This window comes from Homo sapiens, chromosome 14 (assembly GCF_000001405.40).
Source record: "Homo sapiens chromosome 14, GRCh38.p14 Primary Assembly".
Taxonomy (NCBI): Eukaryota; Metazoa; Chordata; class Mammalia; order Primates; family Hominidae; genus Homo; species Homo sapiens.
Window position 1 is genome coordinate 18,630,044 of NC_000014.9, and position 20,271 is coordinate 18,650,314.

Here is a 20,271-nt window from a genome sequence, read left to right on the forward strand (position 1 = left end):
TATACAGGCAAGCTAATGTTTCTTTCTTTTTTTTTTTTTTTTTTTTTTTTGAGATGGAGTCTTGCTCTGTTGCCCAGGCCGGAGTGCAGTGGCGCGATCTCGGCTCACTGCAAGCTCCGCCTCCCGGTTTCACGCCATTTTCCTGCCTCACCCTCCCGAGTAGGTGGGACTACAGGCACCCGCCACCGACCGTGCCTGACTAAATTTTTTGTATTTTTAGTAGAGACGAGGTTTCACCCTGTTAGCCAGAATGATCTCGATCTCCTGACCTCGTGATCCGCCTGCCTCAGCCTCCCAAAGTGCTGGGATTAAGGCTTGAGCCACTGTGCCTGGCCTTTTTATATAATTTTTATCAGTGGACACCTTACTGAACTATAGTACACTTTAGCTTTTTAAAAAAGCTGCTTCTGTTTTCCAGGTATGCAATTATATAATCCTATAGTAATTTTTGTGACTGTCTTTTTAATATCTATATTTCTTCATTAATTTTAGTTTTCTTTCTAATTACTTACAAGGCTAGGACCTCAGAACAATGTTAAGTAGTAGTTGTGACTGCAGGCATTATTTCTAGCCCTGGCTTTACGAGCAGTATTCCTAGCTTTTCACCATTAAGAATGACATTGGCTAGCAAATTAAATACATATTGTTTAATCATTTTATTCCTATTCTAGTGAATTCATTTAATGAAATTGGAAATGAAAACTAAACATCGTCTTAAACTTTTCAAAATACATACAGATTATTATATAGTTTTTCTCTTTTTGAGTTAAATTAAATTAATAAGTTTCCTGGTATTCGATAAACCATGTATTCCTAGAATGAAGTATTTCATTGTTATCACATACTGTCTATATAGCTTTGTATTCCAGTAGTTGCAATTTCAGATTTTGACATCAATTTTCATGTCTGGCCTGGAACTTTATAACAACTTATATTGCTCATTTAAAAATCCACTGTTGCTTCTCTCCAGTTTATTTATATTTTCCAATTTCTTCAGTTAGATGCTTAATTTACATGTTTTTGTTCTTTTAATGGCTGCTTATAGAAGCACCTTTGTAAATTCAGAGGATTGTGATTCTTTTTCCAGTTGATTAGAGCCAAGTGACCTCTAAATATGCCATACAGTGCATCAGTGAATAGGGTTTATGTACACAAACACATCATCAATACATAAGACATTCCAAGTATCACATAAGTGTGCAGCCGTGCCCCATCCTTTTCTTCCTGGTGTTTTGGTGCAGCCACCAAAATCTGATAGGTATGCCAGTTATGGGAGTAGGTGCAGTTATAGCAAGGCATGATGCTGACTTATCTCACTGTATTTCCTTCTGCTTAATCTTCTGTAGACATGCTGTGCAACTTAACATCACTGCCACCCAGAAGCTCTTACGGCTAGTCAGATGCCAAAGCTGGAAGCCTTTATACATATCTCTACTGCCTTTTCAAATGGTAACCTGAAGCACATCGATGAAGTTGTTTATCCGTGCCCTGTGGAGCCAAAAAAAAAATCGTCGATTCCCTTGAGTAATTGGTCAAATAAAGGGATCAAGGTGTGAGTAGAATGTTGCTCTCTTTGATTCTTTGTAGCTGTCTATTAATGAGACGATGAAGAGAAACAGTTTTGCAGCAAAATGCTTTGAAACGGTGCTGGCCTTAGCTACCTTGTCCCTGTTACCTCTTTCATCCCCTGGTGGGGAATATACTGCTGAAAGAGAAGGGGGATAGAAAATTCTTAAAGAAACATTTTGCTAAATTGTATAGGATTGCATGAGGTACTTGGGAATACTATACAAAGAAGTGGTTTCTCGCTTCTTAATGAACTTAACATTGTCACTAGATAAAGCAAGTACAATGAATAGTATAAAATTTCAGAAGAAACATTTTTGATTCTGACATGAGTTTGGCATAGCTCCACAACTAACTAGCTGTGTGACTTTGAGAAAGTCCCTTGGCCTCTCTGAACCCCAGGTCCTTCATTTGTAAAATGGGCCCATTTGATTGTTGTGAGGTTGAATAAAGTTATATAAAACACTTATTGCAGTGCTAGGGAGTGTTTAATATCAGTTAATCAAATGATTAGTAAAGAAGAACTAACGAAGAATAAGAATTGCTCCAAGATCTGGCAGAAGTTCTCTTGACTTCTTTGGCTGAGACACCCTTTCCTTACTGTCCTATTATGCAAGAGAAATAGTGTCTAGGATTCTTCTCTTCTTGCCAATCAGCAGAAACCACTTTCATCCTAGGACACAGCTTGGGTCTCAGGATAGGTTTGTTTTCTGTTTCTTTATTCTGCTCCATTTCACTAAGTTTACTTTGCTTTTTGTTCAATTTTTTTTAAACTCTACATAAAAAGTATTATACCAGAAAAATGGACTCTTTCACAGTAAATTTATTACATTATAATTTTCTATAATACTGTATTTACATTTAATATATACTCTTTAAAAACTTTTAGCTTAATTAAGAGTTCATTCCCTTCAGGGAAAACATTTTTATCTCCTCCAGCTCTGAGAATAGATATTTTTGTCTGTCATATAAAAATGTCCAGGACAAAGAAGAATGAAAGTCATCTAAAGGACCTGGAGGTTACTTAAAGTTGCTAATAAATGGAGGTTTGCTACATTGATACAGAGAAACATTTTAGAGTGCAGAATTTATCAGGATAGTGGGAGAAAAGGCAGGTGTACTCTGAGGCCCAATGTCAAGGCAGTAAACTATGCTTAAAGCCTCAGAGCATTTTCAGGATAGAATTGACTGCTGTCAGTTATCCTCTTATGGTGTTGTCTCTTGGCAAATGTGATGCTTCCATATTTGATGTACCCAGGAGAGGGGCAGACCCTTTTGTTTCCAGACTGTTTCCTGGGACTGTCTCCACTGCTGATCTCTCTAACGCCTGACAGGTCGTAGTGCAATTTGAGGCAGCAAAATAGTCTGAGAGTTCATCAGAGAAAATAAGTAAGAGTTCACTCCTAATGAAGGGCTTCTCTATGTACTCCATACCACCATCTCCAGACACTAAATACCCATGGGTTTCAAAGAAGAATAAACTCACCTCCCAGAGGAAGAGTTGATTTATCTTCAGGCATTCGGCACTTTCCACACTCCCTCAGGTATATGTCAGCCAGACAAGGCTGGTAATTGCTACGTGATATATGAACAAACTGCAATTGACATTTTTACAAAATTTTTAATGTTCATCTGTCATTTACTGCTCTCCAAGGATAACAATTATTTGAGCAACTAATTAGAAATAGGTATGAAATTATTTTATCTCAACAGATACATTTTGCATGCAATTAAGGAACAAAGTTTTTTTAAAAAAAAACAGAGAAAAAGTCATACTTATGATTTGTTAATTCAAAATTAATTAGGACATCCAGGAGCACCTGTGGAGCCTCATTTCTCTCAGCCCTCCCCTTACCTTCATGCTGCAGTCACAAGGAAGTAAGGCCTCCTCTCCTCACACTCTGCCTGCCTTTGCGCTCAAAGCTCTCTTTTCCTAGAGCCTATTTCCCCTTCTGCTTCACCTGGTTAATTCTTACTCAGACATCAAGGCTCCCTGTGAAGCTCTCTGGCTTAGGCAGCCTTCCCAAGTGCCCCATAGTACCCAGCGCTCAGCTTTATTATTGCTTGTAACACAGGTCATTCTGAATGTCTGGTTGCTTATCTACATTTTCCTTTAGACAATGACCGTCTCAATGGAAGAGAATATTTCTTGCTCCTCTTTGCATCTTCAGCTAGGGACTCAATGCTTGCTTGCTTGCTGAGTGAAAAGTTTTTGGTGGAACTAGATGATTGTTGTTCATACTGTTCTGACTGTTTTTTTTTTTTTTGCTTGTTTTGACTGAAACAAGAATAGATGACAGAATTCCACAACAAGCTAATATTTGGGGATGCAGAAGTCTTATGTACAAAATATCTATTTATATCCCCACATCTCACCCATTTCTGATTGTTCATTTTTTTCTTCTTAAAGTTTGAATGAAACCTATATGTGAAGCTTTGAATAGCACTTTACATAAAGCCCAGCAACCCCTCTCCACCTATACCATCATCTATGACTATTTCTTTTTTTTTAAACCAACTTTGTGATTTTTATCGATGGGTGACAACTTTATACTCCTAGATATCACTAAACTGTGTACAATTAGGGATGCAGCATTAGAGAAGAGCAGACAGCAGAATTAAACAGAGCAGACTGAAGGAGAGATCTTCATTATTTGTCCATTTTTCATTATGTGTACACAGAAGCATGAATGCAATCTGAAATCTTTTTAATGGCAGTAAAGTTACAATCATCCATCTATGTAGACTAACATTTTAACTCCAAATATTTGATCTGCAATGTCTATGTAAGCAGTTTCCCTCAGCACAATTACTAATTTTTTTCCTGTTGGGAACCAGCAACTTATTTTTTATGTTTATTTTTCTTTTGAAGTAAGAACTAGTTCTTCTTTGATAACTGGCTCATTTTTATCATTTATCAAAAACTAAAGGGTAGGGAAGAAAAATGTGATGGATTAAAACATTTCTTTTTTAAGGAAGATAAAATTCATTTTCACAAATTTACAAGTGTTGCTGGTGCAGGATTTATTCTACTAAGCAATGAGACTGGGGATCAAATCCACTTTCTTATCTCAGGAATCAGCATTATTTCAGAAATATGGGTTTTTGTGTGTTTTTTAAAATCAAGCGACAGTCTGTTTCAACCAAATGATTTTGATTTCAAAGTTAGAGTCAACAGAAGCTATGTTGTGCACGAACCCCAAGGCATCTCCTTTTCATTCTAGCCCATTTTTGCAAAGGGAGAAAGAGTTTCTCTCTAAAGAGCCAATAAAGAGAGGCGGAAAGTGAGTGTGAGGTGGTGTCCTACAAAGCGGACACTGGGCTCACACACAGCGCACACAGGGTTTACAGCAGGTCCACTCGGCAGTAATACAGGAGATGGGCTGTGCGTTCAGCAGTTGGTTTCACCACCTGGTACTGGTTGATCACCTTGACTGTCTGGTCATCGATGCGCAGCCAGCCATTCAGACCGATCTGGAAGACGTCTCTAGTGTAATGGCCACCCGTCGCACTGTTGCCGTGATGGTAGACCACTGCAAAGAGCCGATAGGTTCTGTGGCATTTAAAATTCTTATTTTTAACCCCTGGAGAAAGCAGTTCTTTACTAATTTCCAAGTCCACAGGATATTCAATATTTTTGATAAGCTTCTGGCACCACCAGTCTTCTCATAAACGAATCGTTTCAGGTGCAGCACGAGGACAGGAGGGAGTTTTTCCAGAGTCACTCTTCGACTTTTCTCAACTTCTTGTTCGGTTTTTGTGGTATAACCTTGGACAGATTCTCTTGCCACCAAGCTCTCCAGTGCATCCTGGACTGTGCGTATTTTGTCAGACTGGATATCCAACTGCAACGTGAAAAATGGCTGCAAAGTGGCAGATTCTTTTGCACTCTGTTGGTAAACCACAGACCTGATGTGGCCACCAAAAATGTGGTGATTGGAGTCTGAACAAAATCCGCCTGGCTGGTGATGGAAGTCTTGTTCCGGGGGCCCACTTGTTCCCATTCATCCTCGCTTCCTTCACCTTGTTTTTCTTGCTCTTCTTCATTGACTGGTTTTTGGGGCCATTGGAAATCGCACGTTTTTCATTATTTGGTGAGAGAAGCTTCTTTAGGTTCAACATTTCCTCATGAAGTCCATTTAGAATGAAGCCTAAGTATTCCTCAGCATCTTCTTGTCGATCCTTTTCAGACAGGCTTGACTTGTTAACTGTCAGGAGTCTAAATATACGTGGGCTCAAAGGCAGCTCCAGGGCGAATATCCCTCACGATTTTATCTCCAAGAGCTTGTCCGGGTTTTGGAGGTACTGGCATATTAGTAAATTCATTCATTAGCCAAACAAAGCTGTCTACCTTGGGTGTTGACGTACAGGGCCTTTGCACTTTGGAATACAGAGGAATGAACTTCATCAGGTGGTACATTGTCGGGAAAGCAACCAATGCCTGGCTACAGGATCCCCTGAAACTGGAACAAGCCCTTCTTTGACTTCAACCTGCTTTTCAGAAACCAGGGGAGATATGGCGGGAGGGGAATACTTAGCTTCCACATAGGCCACCGGCCAGGAGGAAGAGGGCTTAGAATCGTGAAAGAGACTGGCCCAGGACCTGGGCTGGCTGACAGGAAGGGTGCCTGATGCAGAGCCCGTGCCGTCAGCAGGAGGTGATGGACTCTCGGGTTTGGCTGGGTCCAAGTCTATGCTTTCCATGGTGTGCAACTCCACCCCGTTGGTAGCTGTGCCCTCACCCGAGGATTCGAGTATTTGTCCATTAGCAACTCCAAGGTTTTCAGTAGTATCGGTACCAACGCAGGGCTGAGCCCCAGCTGTCCTTGACAGGGTGTCTCTGCCAGCCCCTGCAGGGAAGCAGGACTGACCAAAATCAACCCCGGGACCCCCCTCCTGCTGCCCTGCAGTCCCGGTGTCACTGCCGAGTGCTCCGGGGAAAGGACTGTCAGGCACAATGTCACTGACAGAGTCCGTGGAGTTCTGGGGGCTGTCAAAAGTCCTGGGCGTAATTGACGGGGGCATGTCACCCATAAATTCTGCATCCTCTGCACTGACACTGTTCGGGACTGCTGAGTTGGCATGGCCATTGACCAGGGCTTCTGCGGAAATACTATCATCACCACCATCTTTCAAACAGCTGTAATATCCAGGTGGCTGCTTTTTCTTCTTTTTACGCTCCCTTTGTCCAAGACCACCTGAGACACCATCATTTTCCAAAACTTCCGCCTCCACACTAGAACTTCCATCCAAAGCGAGGGCACAGCCTGGGTACTGGTCGATGGAGCCGTAGCTTGCTTCTTTAGTGATACCATCAGGGGTTGTTTTGGAAGCTGTACAACCGAGAATAAATTCGGGGGCCTGAGGGTTCAGTGTGCTTGAAATACTGTAGCTGGGGGTTCTCAGCAAAGTGTCACTGGGTTCAATGACTTCATTGACACCAAACTCAATTCTCCGATATTCTTGTCCATCAGGTAGTTTATCCCCAGCTTGTGTGCCACACAGAACTGTTCCACTGCATGGAGGAAGCTCAACTGAAGATCGAGGAGTCACAAAGAACTGATTGAATTCATCAGGGCTAAAATCTCCAAAAATATACTGCGGGCTGTGGAGGGCCATGGCTGCCGGTTTCAATGGGACTCGGCGCTCCTCCGGCTGCTCACGCTGCCTCCCCCGCCGCCGCCATCTTCTCCCCCGCACATACACCCATCTATGACTATTTCAATAACTCCTATAACAGATGGAATTTTTGCAAGTTTTAGAATAACAAATAACATTAAAAATCCTTATGAATAAACATTAATTTACCTAAATGCAGGTTTATTTTTTTGCTTTAAGAAAATACTTTTGATGAGTTCTCTATTTAGTAATTGGCCTGTGTTATAAAAGAATTATTTTCAAAGGTTTTTAGGTTTCTGTTTCCCCTGGGAGTTTGTTTTTCTTTCAGTGAAACAGAGAAATAGCTAGGGAACAGTTTTTTTTTTTAAACAGTAACTTCAAGGGGTCTAGCAGCTGTCATTTGCTCTTAGTATTTCAGCTGTTCTTAAGGAATCAGGAGTTAGACATCAAGATAATCTAGAAGCTGTACTCTGGGCATTGTGATCTCAAAAAAATAGCCATGACAATGTAAAAGGAAACTTTATTTTTCCAGAAAATCTGTTGAATGGGAATTCCAGTTCTGGAAGATAAAGAAGGATTTGCATTTTTGGCCAGGACCTTTCTGATGGCTTGGGCAGCAGTGATACTGCTCAATGCTGTTAATAAAGTGAATGGGACTGTGAACTTGAACCTCATGCTTACATCCTGGTCCCTACCTTTGCAAGCCTAACGTCTCTCTTTGTTCAGCTCCCCCCATTTTCTATTCGGCCTATATCCTGAGACTGTCGGGCCTGAGCTCCCTTTCTTTAGCCCCTATCTAAAAATTTTAGATTACCTTGGCTCTGAAATATTCCAGAAAGATGAAATTTAATTTTGTTAGCACAAAAACTTTAGCATGTCAGCATAAAAATATTTTAAAATAACTTAAATGAGAAGTTAATGTTTGTAATGAGTAGGACAAGCATGGCCATTAATCAGTGTTAAGCAACTAATTTTCCTGGCTCTTATACCTGTAGTTTTCTTCTGGCCCTCATCCCAGCCACCAGTTCCCATCCTGACTCATCTCTATCTTCATATTACCACCTTCTGCCTATTTGCTGTATTTACCTTGGAAATTTAGTGGCATAAATGGATCAGGGATTGCCAGTGAAATTCTGGTTTTCCAGAATAACAGCTTAAGTAGAAAGTTTATTTTTTAAAATGCACATAACTGACTAAGAAAGGCAGAGTTTTATGGTTGGTGCTTTTCTTATGTTTTAGGTCAAGGTAACTCCTCTTAGGGGAACCAGTGTAGAAGAAAAGGGCTTCTGCACCTGTATAAAAACCTGAAATAACTAGAATTAGGAACTAGAAAAATGGAATCACAAATACCTATTGCTTTATTGAACATATGTTAATAAATCTGAATTAAGAAGGGAAGGGAGGAGATGAGTCATTATTGAGCAATCACTGTGAGCGAGATGCTTTCACAGACATTTATTTCCACAACTTAATATTGTAGGGTTGATTTATTATCACTGCTATACTAATTAAGGAGCAAAAAGCTCAGGAAGGCTAAGTAACTCCTTGAAAGTCTCTCAAGACTTTCTTTACCTTTCAAGAAAGGTATCCATGGCCACTTGATTCTGAAGCTCATGGTCTTTCCAGTCTACTCACATACTCGGCAGTGTTAGAGATTAAAAGGTGCTTTCTTAAGATATAGACTGTTCCCAAGGAGCTCACGTCCCAGACAAATAGAACAGGGCAGAATTATACACGTGGGGTGGTGGGGAAACAGTACATATTAAGTCTGGTGGAGTGGAGAGAGGCATATGAGGTGACTTGGAAGAGTGGGAGGAGTGTGGATAGGTGAGATGTGCACAGACACCAGGCAGGGCAACTGGAGCTGGGAAACCCAGGCGTGTTTGGGACACAGCCAGAAGTCCCTCTTGGCAGCACATGTGTTATGTGTAGGGAAGCAGTTAGAGATCAAGCTGGAGAGGCAGGTTGGGCCGTACTGTGGAGATTTTGCATACCATGCAGAGGAATTGGATTTAATTCTCTAGGCAGTGGAGATCCATTGAAGGAGGGCCATGTGTGTGCATGTGGTTTTGTGTAGTTTTTGGTTGCTTGCTCATTTGTTTTCATCGTGGAAAGACACTGATGAAAGTGGGCTTCAGTAATATTAATATGGCCAGGGGCTGGGGGAGGCAGTAGATTAGCATGTGTATTGGGAAAGAAAAAAAAACAATAGGACATGGCTACTGCTTTGCTTATGGGATTACACATACCAAATTAACTCCAGATTAGAACATGCATACTTGCCATGTTTTACATTTCTAGTGCCAGGGATTTAATTTTTTTTAATAAATGAGAAAGTAAAGTTTATTGTGTTTAAGTATTTTTAATGAGATCATGTTTTTAGTGAGAACTGGGACCAAACAGATTTTCTGACTCCAAATAGATATTTCCATTGGAACAGGTCTATAAGTATACAGACATGCAAACACATATTTCTTTACTGCTCATAATCAAGTGTCAATTAGTCCTTATTAGAATGTGGGATGTATAAATGTAAGAGAATTTTCAGTTAAAATTGACAGATACATTTTTTAATTGTCCTAAAATGGATTTAATTATTTTTCTTTAATGTTATTTTTATGAGAAGTGATATAACTTTATTGATAATGCATACAATAACTCTTTGTTTTGCACATTGTTTGGAAATACAATGTATTTTGCAAGTAACTAAAGCCCAATTTAAATTAAAATTTTAAATTTTCAATCTTTTTAATTGTGATTATTATTATACTTTAAGTTCTGGGATACATGTGGAGAACGTGCAGGTTTGTTACATAGGTATACACATGACATGGTAGTTTGCTGCACCCATCAACCTCTCATCTACATTAGGTGCTGGAGATGATGTGGAAAAAGAGGAACGCTTTTACACTGTTGGTGGGAGTGTAAATTAGTACAACCATTGGGGAAGACAGTGTGGCTATTCCTCCAGGATCTAGAACCAGAAATACCAATTGACCTCACAATCCCATTTCTGGGTATATGCCCAAAGATTATAAATCACTGTACTATAAAGACATGCACACACATGTTTATTGCAGCACCGTTCCCAATACCAAAGACTTGGAACCAACCCAAATGCCCGTCACTGATAGACTGGATAAAAAAAGTGGCACATATACTCCATGGAATACTCTCAGCCATAAAAAAGGATGAGTTCATGTCCTTTGCAGGGACACGGATGAAGCTGGAAGCCATCATCCTCAGCAAACTAACACAGGAACAGAAAACCAAACACCACATGTTCTCACTCATAAGTGGGAGTTGAACAATGAAAACACATGGACACATGGAGGGGAACATCACACATTGGGGCCTGTGGGGAGCTAGGGAAGGGATAGCATTAGGGGATTTAATTCTTTCAAAATTTAATTCTGTTGAAATGTTTACTTCAAGAAGCAATGCATTTTTGAGAGCTAATCCTGATCTATTCAAATCTTAACAAATTCAGTTGATGGAGTGGACTTCTTCTAAATTAGTGATTCCCTAATTTGCCTGACTGTTGGAATTTCCAGGGCATGTTGAAAATACACATTATCCAGACTCTTACCTCTGCAGATCTATTTAGTGGTTCTAAAATGGCAGCCAGGAGTCTGGATTTTTCCCAGGGGTCCTGTGTAATTCACACTGATGAACAGGCAAGTTTGGGAAATAGTGCCTTAAGGAGATTTTTCATTAAGCAGTCTTCATTTGAAATGAGGATCGTTTATCTTCTAATACTCCATGCTTCCTCTTTCTCCTGCTCTCCTCGCCTCCTGTTGTCTTTCAGTTCCTAGAAGCTTTAACTGAATGAAAGGTCCTAGTAGATCTGTACCTACTAAAAACCACACTTCTGAAGCTATGTGGCCACCAGAAGACACAGCTAGTCTGCAATGTAAAAAAGGAAAGGTGGTGTGTGCACTGAGGGTACAGGGTTGACGGGCAGGGAAATGGAGACCCTCACAGCCAGCAGCAGTGGCCCTCATCACAGCCCTCCAGGAGATAGGAAAGGAGGTCAGATCTTGGACAGTAGTCTTGCCTTCCTGCTATAGAACACATTGTTAACACCAAAAAAGCTGATCTCTTCTAGGGGAATGGTGAAAGCTGACTCTAGCACTTGTGCTTTTAATTTCAGGGTGGCACAGCTTCTAAATGGCATCTAAGTTGCTGATATAAAAATGAAAATTCTGTGTACTTTGATATTAGCAGGCTTTAAATACAAACCAGAATAAGATTAAATTGTTTCTTAATCAAATCGAATAATTTTCACATTGGCAGTCCATTCGGCATCTGGCTCATGTTTGGGCTAGGCTGAGTAGTCCGTGAAAGTCTGGAGGGAAATACAGAGGCCAATTCTACATAAGCATTAGGTTGAGAAATACCCTGCTTCCCCATGAAAAGTTTAAATTGATGTGACGCCACCTTCACCAAATCGAGGTTGGTCAACACTTTTCACCACTGCCACTGGACACTTTGACTTCCAATTTTGCTTCCTGCTCTATGAAGATATCCCCTTCTTTCCTTTCCCACATTCTCCCTATAACCTCATCTTCCTTTCGTCTACTCTCTCTTATCATTGTCCATCTCTGCTTCCCAAAACCTTATATAGTACAGAAATTGACCAATCAAGATTACCATGTGGAAGAGCATCCATTTACTGAATAAGGTAGCTGGCTCCTGGGGGCAGAAAAGTGATTAGATACAGAGATAAAAATCATAATCCCTGCTCTCCTGGACTCACTGTCCAATGGGGAGACAGACACGTGAACAAATACAACTTCGTAACTACAACAATCAAGTGAACTATATAATTTAGACTGGAGAAAGAAAGAGCAAATGTTATCATAAGACAGTGTGTCCACTACTTACTCTCTAACAGATTTCCTCATAAACCACTAGGCTTGCCAACTTGTTGCATAAGAAAATTGGAAGGTGAGGGAGGGAAAATACATATGCCTCTTGGCATTTCATTCTGTAAATACATAAATAATGTAACTATTAATGATATCATCATGTTGATTCAATAAGTTTGAAACCAAAATTGATAGTAATCTTTAGAAGAAATTATGTATGTGTCTATGCATGTACACACATAGACATACACATATTGCTTTCTGAAATTTTTAATGACTTTATGCTTCTTCTGAAGCAATTCGAGTTTAGTATTTGAGACCCATGGGTCAAAGCATCTTCTTGAGTATACTGAAGAACATTTAGATTAATTTCAGACATGTATTTTGGTTAATATAGTGGTTTTTATCCATGCTAACTTATTTACTGTTTAAAAACATATTGAGAACAAACAACAGCAGCAACCCTGAATTGAGTGAAAGTCCTGAGAAGGGCTTTGCCCAATCAGTGCATATGCATGTTTACACTAATCTCCTGTCTGATCCTAGGAAGTGGCCGAATGAGCTAGCAGATGGTCTCTTTGGCTGTATTATAAACGATAATTTATTTTTATTTGTTTTATTCATTCATTCCTTCATTTTGAGACAGGGTCTCACTCTTTCACCCGGGCTGGAGTAGGGTGGCAGAATCACAGCTCACTGCAGCCTTCAACTCCCAGGCTCAAGCAATCCTCCTGCCTCAGCCTCCTGAGTAGGTGCACGCCACCATGCCCAGCTAATTTTTAAAAACTCTTTTTGTAGAGACAGGGTCTTATTATGTTGCCCAGGCTGGTCTCAAACTCCTGGACTCAAGCGATCCTCCTTCCTTGGCCTCTCAATGTGCTGGGATTATAGGTTAGAGTCACCACACCTGGCCAGAAATGACATTTTAAAACCAACTATTACCTACACAGATGTATGATGCTCCCTTGTTTTCTTTAAAAATAGGAATGCCTTAGATTTTTGGCTCATTTTGTTTCATCAAAGATCTTAAATGCAGTTGTGAAAATTTTTGTTTACCCTCATAATAGCCTGAGAATTTAGAATGAATATAATTATTGCTATTTTCACAAGTAAAATTGGAATGAGAAGATTAAACAGTGGAATACATGTGTAAATAACAACAGCAGAGGCAAGCCATCTATAGAATATTAAAATTTCTTGCATGTGTGTTACCAACATTTTCTCATGCCTGAAATCCCAGCACTTTGGGAGGCCGAGGCAGGTGGATCACCTGCGGTCAGTAGTTCGAGACTAGCCTGGCCAACATGGTGAAACCCCGTGTCTACTAAAAGTTCAAAAATTAGCCAGGCGTGGTGGCAGGCACCTATAATCCCAGCTACTCAGAAGGCTGAGGCAGAAGAATTGCTTGAACCTGGGAGGCAGAAGTTGCAGTGAGCCCAGACTGCACCATTGCCCTCCAGTCTGGGGGGGACAAGAGCAAGACTCCGTCTCCAAAAAAAAAAAAAAAAAAAAAAAAAACAAACAAATAAACCAAACCAAACCAAAACAACAACAACCAAAAACAACATTTTCCAAGACAAGCAAAGCTACTAAACTTTATAAGGCCCCATCCCCCCAAGTATTATGCTTTCCATGTACTCCAACATTAACGACAGCAACTGGTACTAGCCATGTGACATACAATCCCAGCACATTGTTCGGCTCTGATGTTTTCTAGGAATTTTTTCTTTACAGCCTTATTGATATTAAGCTCTATTTTCTCAAGACCTGGTTTTCATAAACTGTATATTTTTGCAGTTGAGGGAAAATGATCTCAGGTCAGTCAATCCACTGTTGACCCACAAATGAAATAAGGTAGGCTTATTGTTAAGATGGAGAGGTGTCTGCATCATCCTACACTTTTTCCCAGCCTCCAGGTGACCATATAATTAAAATATCCTTGATATTTCTATGTAGTTTAAGTTGTTTTTAATTCTAGAACCCCTCAATCTTTCTCCATTCAATTTAAATGAAAAGTCATTTGAGTATCCAGAACACACTCAGCACTCATAGAAGCAAAGCAAGAAAAATGGAAACATTATAGTCAATGCCCATGTTCTACCCCAGGATGAAATGAGGCATTAATACTGAGAGTTGTGATTCTGAATAAGTCTTAACCTTCTGCACATCTTAGTTGTTCAAAAATGTGTCATGTCAGCAAGGTGATAACAGTGAAGATTTTCTACAATCAAAGTAGTATTGTTATGTTCTGTTGTATAAAATAGAAATAAATGTACCACATTGATCAGAAAAATCACACTAGCATATTCTGGCAGCTTAAATTTTTTATTATTGTACTTTAAGTTCTAGGGCACATGTGCACAACGTGCAGGTTTGTTACATAGGTATACATGTGCCATGTTGGTTTGCTGCACCCATTAACTCGTCATTTACATTAGGTACTTCTCCTAATGCTATCCCTCCCCTAGCCTCCACGCTAGGACAGGCCCCTGTGTGTGATGTTCCCCGCCCTGTCCAAGTGTTTTCATTGTTCAATTCCCACCTATGAGTGAGAACATGTGGTGTTTGGTTTTCTGTCCTTATGATAGCTTGCTCAGAATGATGGTTTCCAGCTTCATCCATGTTCCCGCAAAGGACATGAACTCATCCCTTTTTGTGGCTGCATAGTATTCCATGGTGTACATGTGCCACATTTTCTTTCTTTCTTTCTTTGTTTCTTTGTTTCTTTCTTTCTTTTGTTTTATGGAATAAAAAGTTCGGCCTTTTTACTGCATGAAACTAAAATTGGAAAAGGTGGGCGTGGATGGGGTGGGAGGGGGTTGAGGGGAGCAGGAGATGCCCTCTCCACCAGCTCCTGGGTAATGACACCTCACTTCTTGCATAATTTCTGGCATCTTCCTGCCTGCAATGCCAGCTCTCTCAGCATCTTGGAGAAGGGGGGATCACACACTCATCGTCATGCTTGGAGAGTAATTGTCATTCTGAAAGGAGTGGAGGAAGTTCCCTCCTAGCTCGCTGTCATCTCGAGGGGTGCCTGGAAGACTGCTAATACTATTCACGTTGTTAGGAGAATTTTTTGGAAGTCATTTATGTTGCCTGACCCTAACAATCCGTTCATGTGTTGTGGCTCCATGCCACCCATGCTGCCCATCGGACCGTCCAAGCTGGGACCCATCGGGAAGTTGGACCGGCTGCCTCCAGGTGGCACCAGATTAATCAATGTGTAGATGTTGTCGCTGGAATTTGTTGAATCTGAGGGACTGGGCATAGTGGGTGTTCCTGGAGGGCCACCACCACCAGGGGGTCCCACATAGGTACCAGGTGATGAGGAGGAGTATGGAATTGAGTTAGCACTGTTAGAATTGGGCTAGGGTCTGCCGGCTCCCGGGCCCATGTTAATCCCGGGCATGGCAGGGCCAAGGGAATTGGGTGGTGGTCTCATGCCACTGCCGTAATTCTGTGGGCTGGGACTCATGGGCACCATGCCTCAGGGAGGGTTCATTCTCTGCATTGATCCTTCTATGTGGGGGTGGCCTTGTTGTCGTGTGGGATCCATGGAATTGGGCAGCAATGGCTGTTTCCCAGGAACTCCTCCGGAGGAGGCTGGTTTCCCATTCTGATCGGGGGGCCTGGGGCCGCCTGCGTATTGCGGTGACATAAAAGGCTGACTGTGGGGTCCCATCATGCTGCTAGGATTGTGAGGTGGAGGCTGTGCATGCGGTGAGGGCAGTGACCCCGGAGGACACTGAAAGAAACCTGGCGAGACTCGGCCTCCCGGCATCCCATCTTTGGGGGGAATGTTGCCAAGCACGGGGCTCCGGGCAGCTGCTGCACTAGAATCAGGAAAGGCTTTTGCTTCACTTGAATGTTCACAAGTGTCTCTCCTTTTAGGAGCTGCACAGTAAAGGTCCCAAAATACACACCACCACGAGTGCAAAAACCGAGGCTGTTCTCCCAACCTGATGTTTTTTTTTTTTTTTTTTCCCAGAGAATCTCCGATAAGAAGGTCTGTGCAGATTTCTGTGCTCCTACCTGCAGTAAATATTCGTAGACGTATAAAGCTAACTTTTCCCCAGCCTGCCGGTTCGAGGGCACCAACGAGCCTTTGTCTTTGGCAAACATGGTTTGCAGGGAAGAGGGCTCCAAGCCTCGCCACAGCCGCCACCGCTCCGGCTCTCCCGAGCTGCCCCTGGCTCCCGGCCCCCTCCCAGGCGCTCGCTCGCTCTCTCGCTAGCTGGCGCTCTCCTCGCCGCGCTCCCCTCCCTCCCGACCAGGCGCTGGCTCCGCGCTCTTTTCAGCTGTCAAAGCATCAGCCCGGACCAAGGCCCCATCGCCCTGGAACTCCTCCCGTGCCGGCTGGGCCTGGGGTGCCGCCGCCGCCGCCTCCCGAAAGGCCGCCAGGTCTCTGCTAGCTCAGGTGCTCGCCAGGCTCCGCCTGCACCGCCCTCTGCGCCTCCAGTACCGCTGCGGCCGCCGCCGCTGGTCTCATGTGTCATATTTTCTTAATCCAGTCTATGGTTGATGGACATTTGGGTTGGTTCCAAGTTTTTGCTATTGTGAATAGTGCCGCAATAAACATACGTGTGCATGTGTCTTTATAGTAGCATGATTTATAATCCTTTGGGTATATACCCAGTAATGGAATCTGGGTCAAATGGTATTTCTCGTTCTAGATCCTTGAGGAATCGCCACACTGTCTTCCACAACGGTTGAACTAGTTTACACTCCCACCAACAGTGTAAAAGCGTTCCTATGTCAAGCAATGGCAACAAAAGCCAAAACAGACAAATGGGATCTAATTAAACTAAAGAGCTTCTGTGCAGCAAAAGAAACTACCATCAGAGTGAACAGGCAACCTACAGAATGGGAGAACATTTTTGCAATCTATCCATCTGACAAAGGGCTAATATCCAGAATCTACAAAGAACTTAAACAGATTTACAAGAAAAAACAAAACAACCCCATCAAAAAGTGGGCAAAGGACATGAACAGACACTTCTCAAAAGAAGACATTTATGCAGTCAACAGACACACGAAAAAATGCTCACCATCACTGGCCATCAGAGAAATGCAAATCAAAACCACAGTGAGATACCATCTCACACCAGTTAGAATGGCAGCTTAATTTTTAAAACGCTATATCAATAATTTAAGCACATAGATCTCTCAGCTAGAATAAATGTTACATATTTAATTGACAATAATTTTTTGCTCTCTTAGAGATGTGTAGATAGACTTTGGGTTTATCAAATGGTTCTTTTTTTTTTTTTTTTTTGAGATGGAGTCTCACTTTGTCACCAGGCTGGTGTGCAGTGGTGCGATCTTGGCTGATTACAACCTCCGACTCCTGGGTTCAAGCGATTCTCCTGCCTCAGCCTCTCAAGTAGCTGGGATTACAGGCATGTGCCACCACGCCCAGCTAATTTTTGTATTTTTAGTAGAGACGGGGTTTCACCATGTTGGCCAGGATGGTCTCGATTTCCTGACCTCAATATCCGCTCGCCTCGGCCTCCCAAAGTGCTGGGATTACAAGTGTGAGCCACTCCGCCAGGCCAGTTCTGACATATTTTTAAGAAAGATTAGGCTGATGCTATGGTAACTCAGTTATTCATGATACATGTCATATTATAAGTAGGAGAATTCAATATTCATGATTTTGAAGCAATTTCAGAGTACTATAATCACCCCACTTGACAGACTTCGAATTCATTGGAAATCTCTGGAAATAATTAGCAAGTTATTAGCACAGACTCTAAACAGACCTTCAAAATGCGTTACATAGATTTGCTAGAAGAGATTGTCAGTCTGCCAAAAGTAGTCACTTTGGTTTGATTTGCATTGAATGAAATTTTTTAAATGTAAAGCTAAACTCTTCAGGATCACTGCACCAGGTTTCTATGGGACAACACTGAACAGGGCTGCCACTGAAACACCTTGGATGAGAGCCTCAAACTCCCTGAACACAGCTTCCAGCACACTATTGGGAGAATGACTGGAACTCAAAAATGTGTGCAATGAATGTACTTAGGAGCTTCTTGGAGAGGAAGTAAAGAGGTTGTATGTAATAACCTCCAGTTTAGTACTACTACAGATAAAGTAGTAGTATTGGTAAAGTAATTGATAAATAAATAGTAGTGCTAAAGTCATACTAATAAAGTAGTACTAATAGCCCTATACTAGTAGTAATAATAAAGTGGTATTGCTATTGATTCTATTGGTCTCTCTACCTACCTATCTCTCTAGATGGGAGGGCATAGGATTTGGCTGATGAGATTGGGCTTAGCAGTGAAGAGCAAAGAGCTCATGCATGCTTTGAACAGGTATGCCCTCAAACTTGGTATTGTGTGACTAAATTCCAGAACCAAGGCTAAAAGGTGGAAGTTTTGTTTGACTATTTGCGTGTCACATTTTCCTTTTGGTCTATTGTCTAACATATGCTGCTAGAATTCTTTTCACTCTGACTACTTTTTACGTGGTTAGACGACGCTGTTATTGACGAGATCACACCCAAGCTGATCAGAGATCCGCCCAATTCTTGCACCTACATCAAGGCCTTGGGAGAAATGGTGGTGCAGCAGGAGAGCAGAAACCTAACCATCGCCATCATAAGGCCCTCCATTGTGGGAGCAACGTGGCATGAGCCTTTCCCAGTAAGCCCACTCACCTGGATTCTCTGTTTTGCTTCCAAATTAAAGTTCTTCTAGCCCAATTACTTTCTGATGTCGTTTCTCCCCCTCCTCCTCCTTCTCCTTCTTCTTTCTTCATCTTCTTCCTCTTCCCCTTCCCCTCTTCCTCCTCCTCCTCCTCCTCTTCCTCCTCTTCCTCCTCCTCAGGATTTATAGCTAAGTGCAGCCAATCAAATATGAACCCATTATACTAGGGCAAAATTCCACTTTGGGATCAGGATTTACTCAGCATGCACCTTCTCTGGCAGTTACCCTGACTGTCCTAGAGTTGAATGGAGATCTTAAATTAGCTTCTAATTACTCTAGCCTCAAAATTCCCATGGGTGATGGCTTCATATCTTGGCTTTCCCACTATAGTTTAAACATACCGAATGTTCTTAATGGTCAAATTGGTAGTATTGCAACTGCCAGGGTAAACAAGGGTTACAAAGTGCACAGAAGGATCCCAGTTTGGGAATACTGTTTTTCCTAACCTCAGTATAGTGCTATGTCCTTTTAAAAGTACTTTGAATTATGCTATCTTCTTTTTTTTATTATACTTTAAGTTCTAGGGTACATGTGCACAATGTGCAGGTTTGTTACGTATGTCTACATGTGCCATGTTGGTTTGCTGCACCCATTAACTCGTCATTTACATTAGGTATTTCTCCTAATGCTATCCCTCCCCTAGCTTCCATGCTAGGACAGGCCCCCGTGTGTGATGTTCCCCGCCTTGTGTCCAAGTGTTCTCATTGTTCAATTCCCACCTATAAGTGAGAACATGCGGTGTTTGGTTTTCTGTCCTTGCGGTAGTTTGCTCAGAATGATGGTTTCCAGTTACATCCATGTCGCTACAAAGGATATGAACTCCTCCTTTTTTATGGCTGCATAGTTCTCCATGGCTTGTATGTGCCACATTTTCTTAATCCAGTCTATCATCGATACAGATTTGAGTTGGTTCCAAGTCTTTGCTATTGTGAATAGTGCCGCAATAAACATATGTGTGCATGTGTCTTTATAGTAGCAGGATTTATAATCCTTTGGGTATATACCCAGTAATGGGATGGCTGGATCAAATGGTATTTCTAGTTCTAGATCATTGAGGAATTGCCACACTGACTTCCACAATGAGTGAACCAGTTTACACTCCCACCAACAGTGTAAAAGTGTTCCTATTTCTCCACATGCTCTCCAGCACCTGTTGCTTCCTGACTCTTTAATGATCGCCATTCTAACTGGTGTGAGATAGAATTATACCATCTTCTTTAAAGCAAGTCTGTGAAGCTTTGGGGCAGATAAATTCCAGCTCCACCACTTACTGGCAATGCAAAATTTTTGAGTTGTCCCTTCCATAAAACAGGAGGGATACTATTTTGGAGACCTGGTTTAATGAGACAATGTATGAGGAGTGCTCAGTCTCTAGTAAAAGGCAGGTCCTTACTAAAAGGCTCATGGATATTAATCCCTTCATCTTCTCCTCCCGCCTCTCTCCTTTCCCATTATACACACACATTTTGACTTTTACACTATGAGGTAAAGAGACATCATAA

At 41.7% G+C, this 20,271-nt stretch overlaps 1 long non-coding RNA gene and 4 pseudogenes across 1 annotated transcript; 2 read left to right on the forward strand and 3 right to left on the reverse strand.

Moving 5' to 3' along the window:
* Positions 1 to 492: 492 nt before the first annotated feature.
* LINC02297 (long intergenic non-protein coding RNA 2297) lies at positions 493 to 3,591 on the reverse strand. The gene is made up of 3 exons (NR_046104.1): positions 3,422 to 3,591; positions 3,053 to 3,161; positions 493 to 1,488 (listed from the first exon to the last, which is right to left on the reverse strand). It is a non-coding gene; the product is annotated as a long intergenic non-protein coding RNA 2297 (long non-coding RNA).
* LOC100420172 (fatty acyl-CoA reductase 2 pseudogene) lies at positions 1,345 to 18,707 on the forward strand (annotated as a pseudogene).
* USP10P2 (USP10 pseudogene 2) lies at positions 4,075 to 7,272 on the reverse strand (annotated as a pseudogene).
* Positions 15,002 to 16,178, reverse strand: SSBP3P4 (SSBP3 pseudogene 4; annotated as a pseudogene).
* On the forward strand, positions 15,948 to 16,462 carry LOC100422529 (pleckstrin homology domain containing B2 pseudogene; annotated as a pseudogene).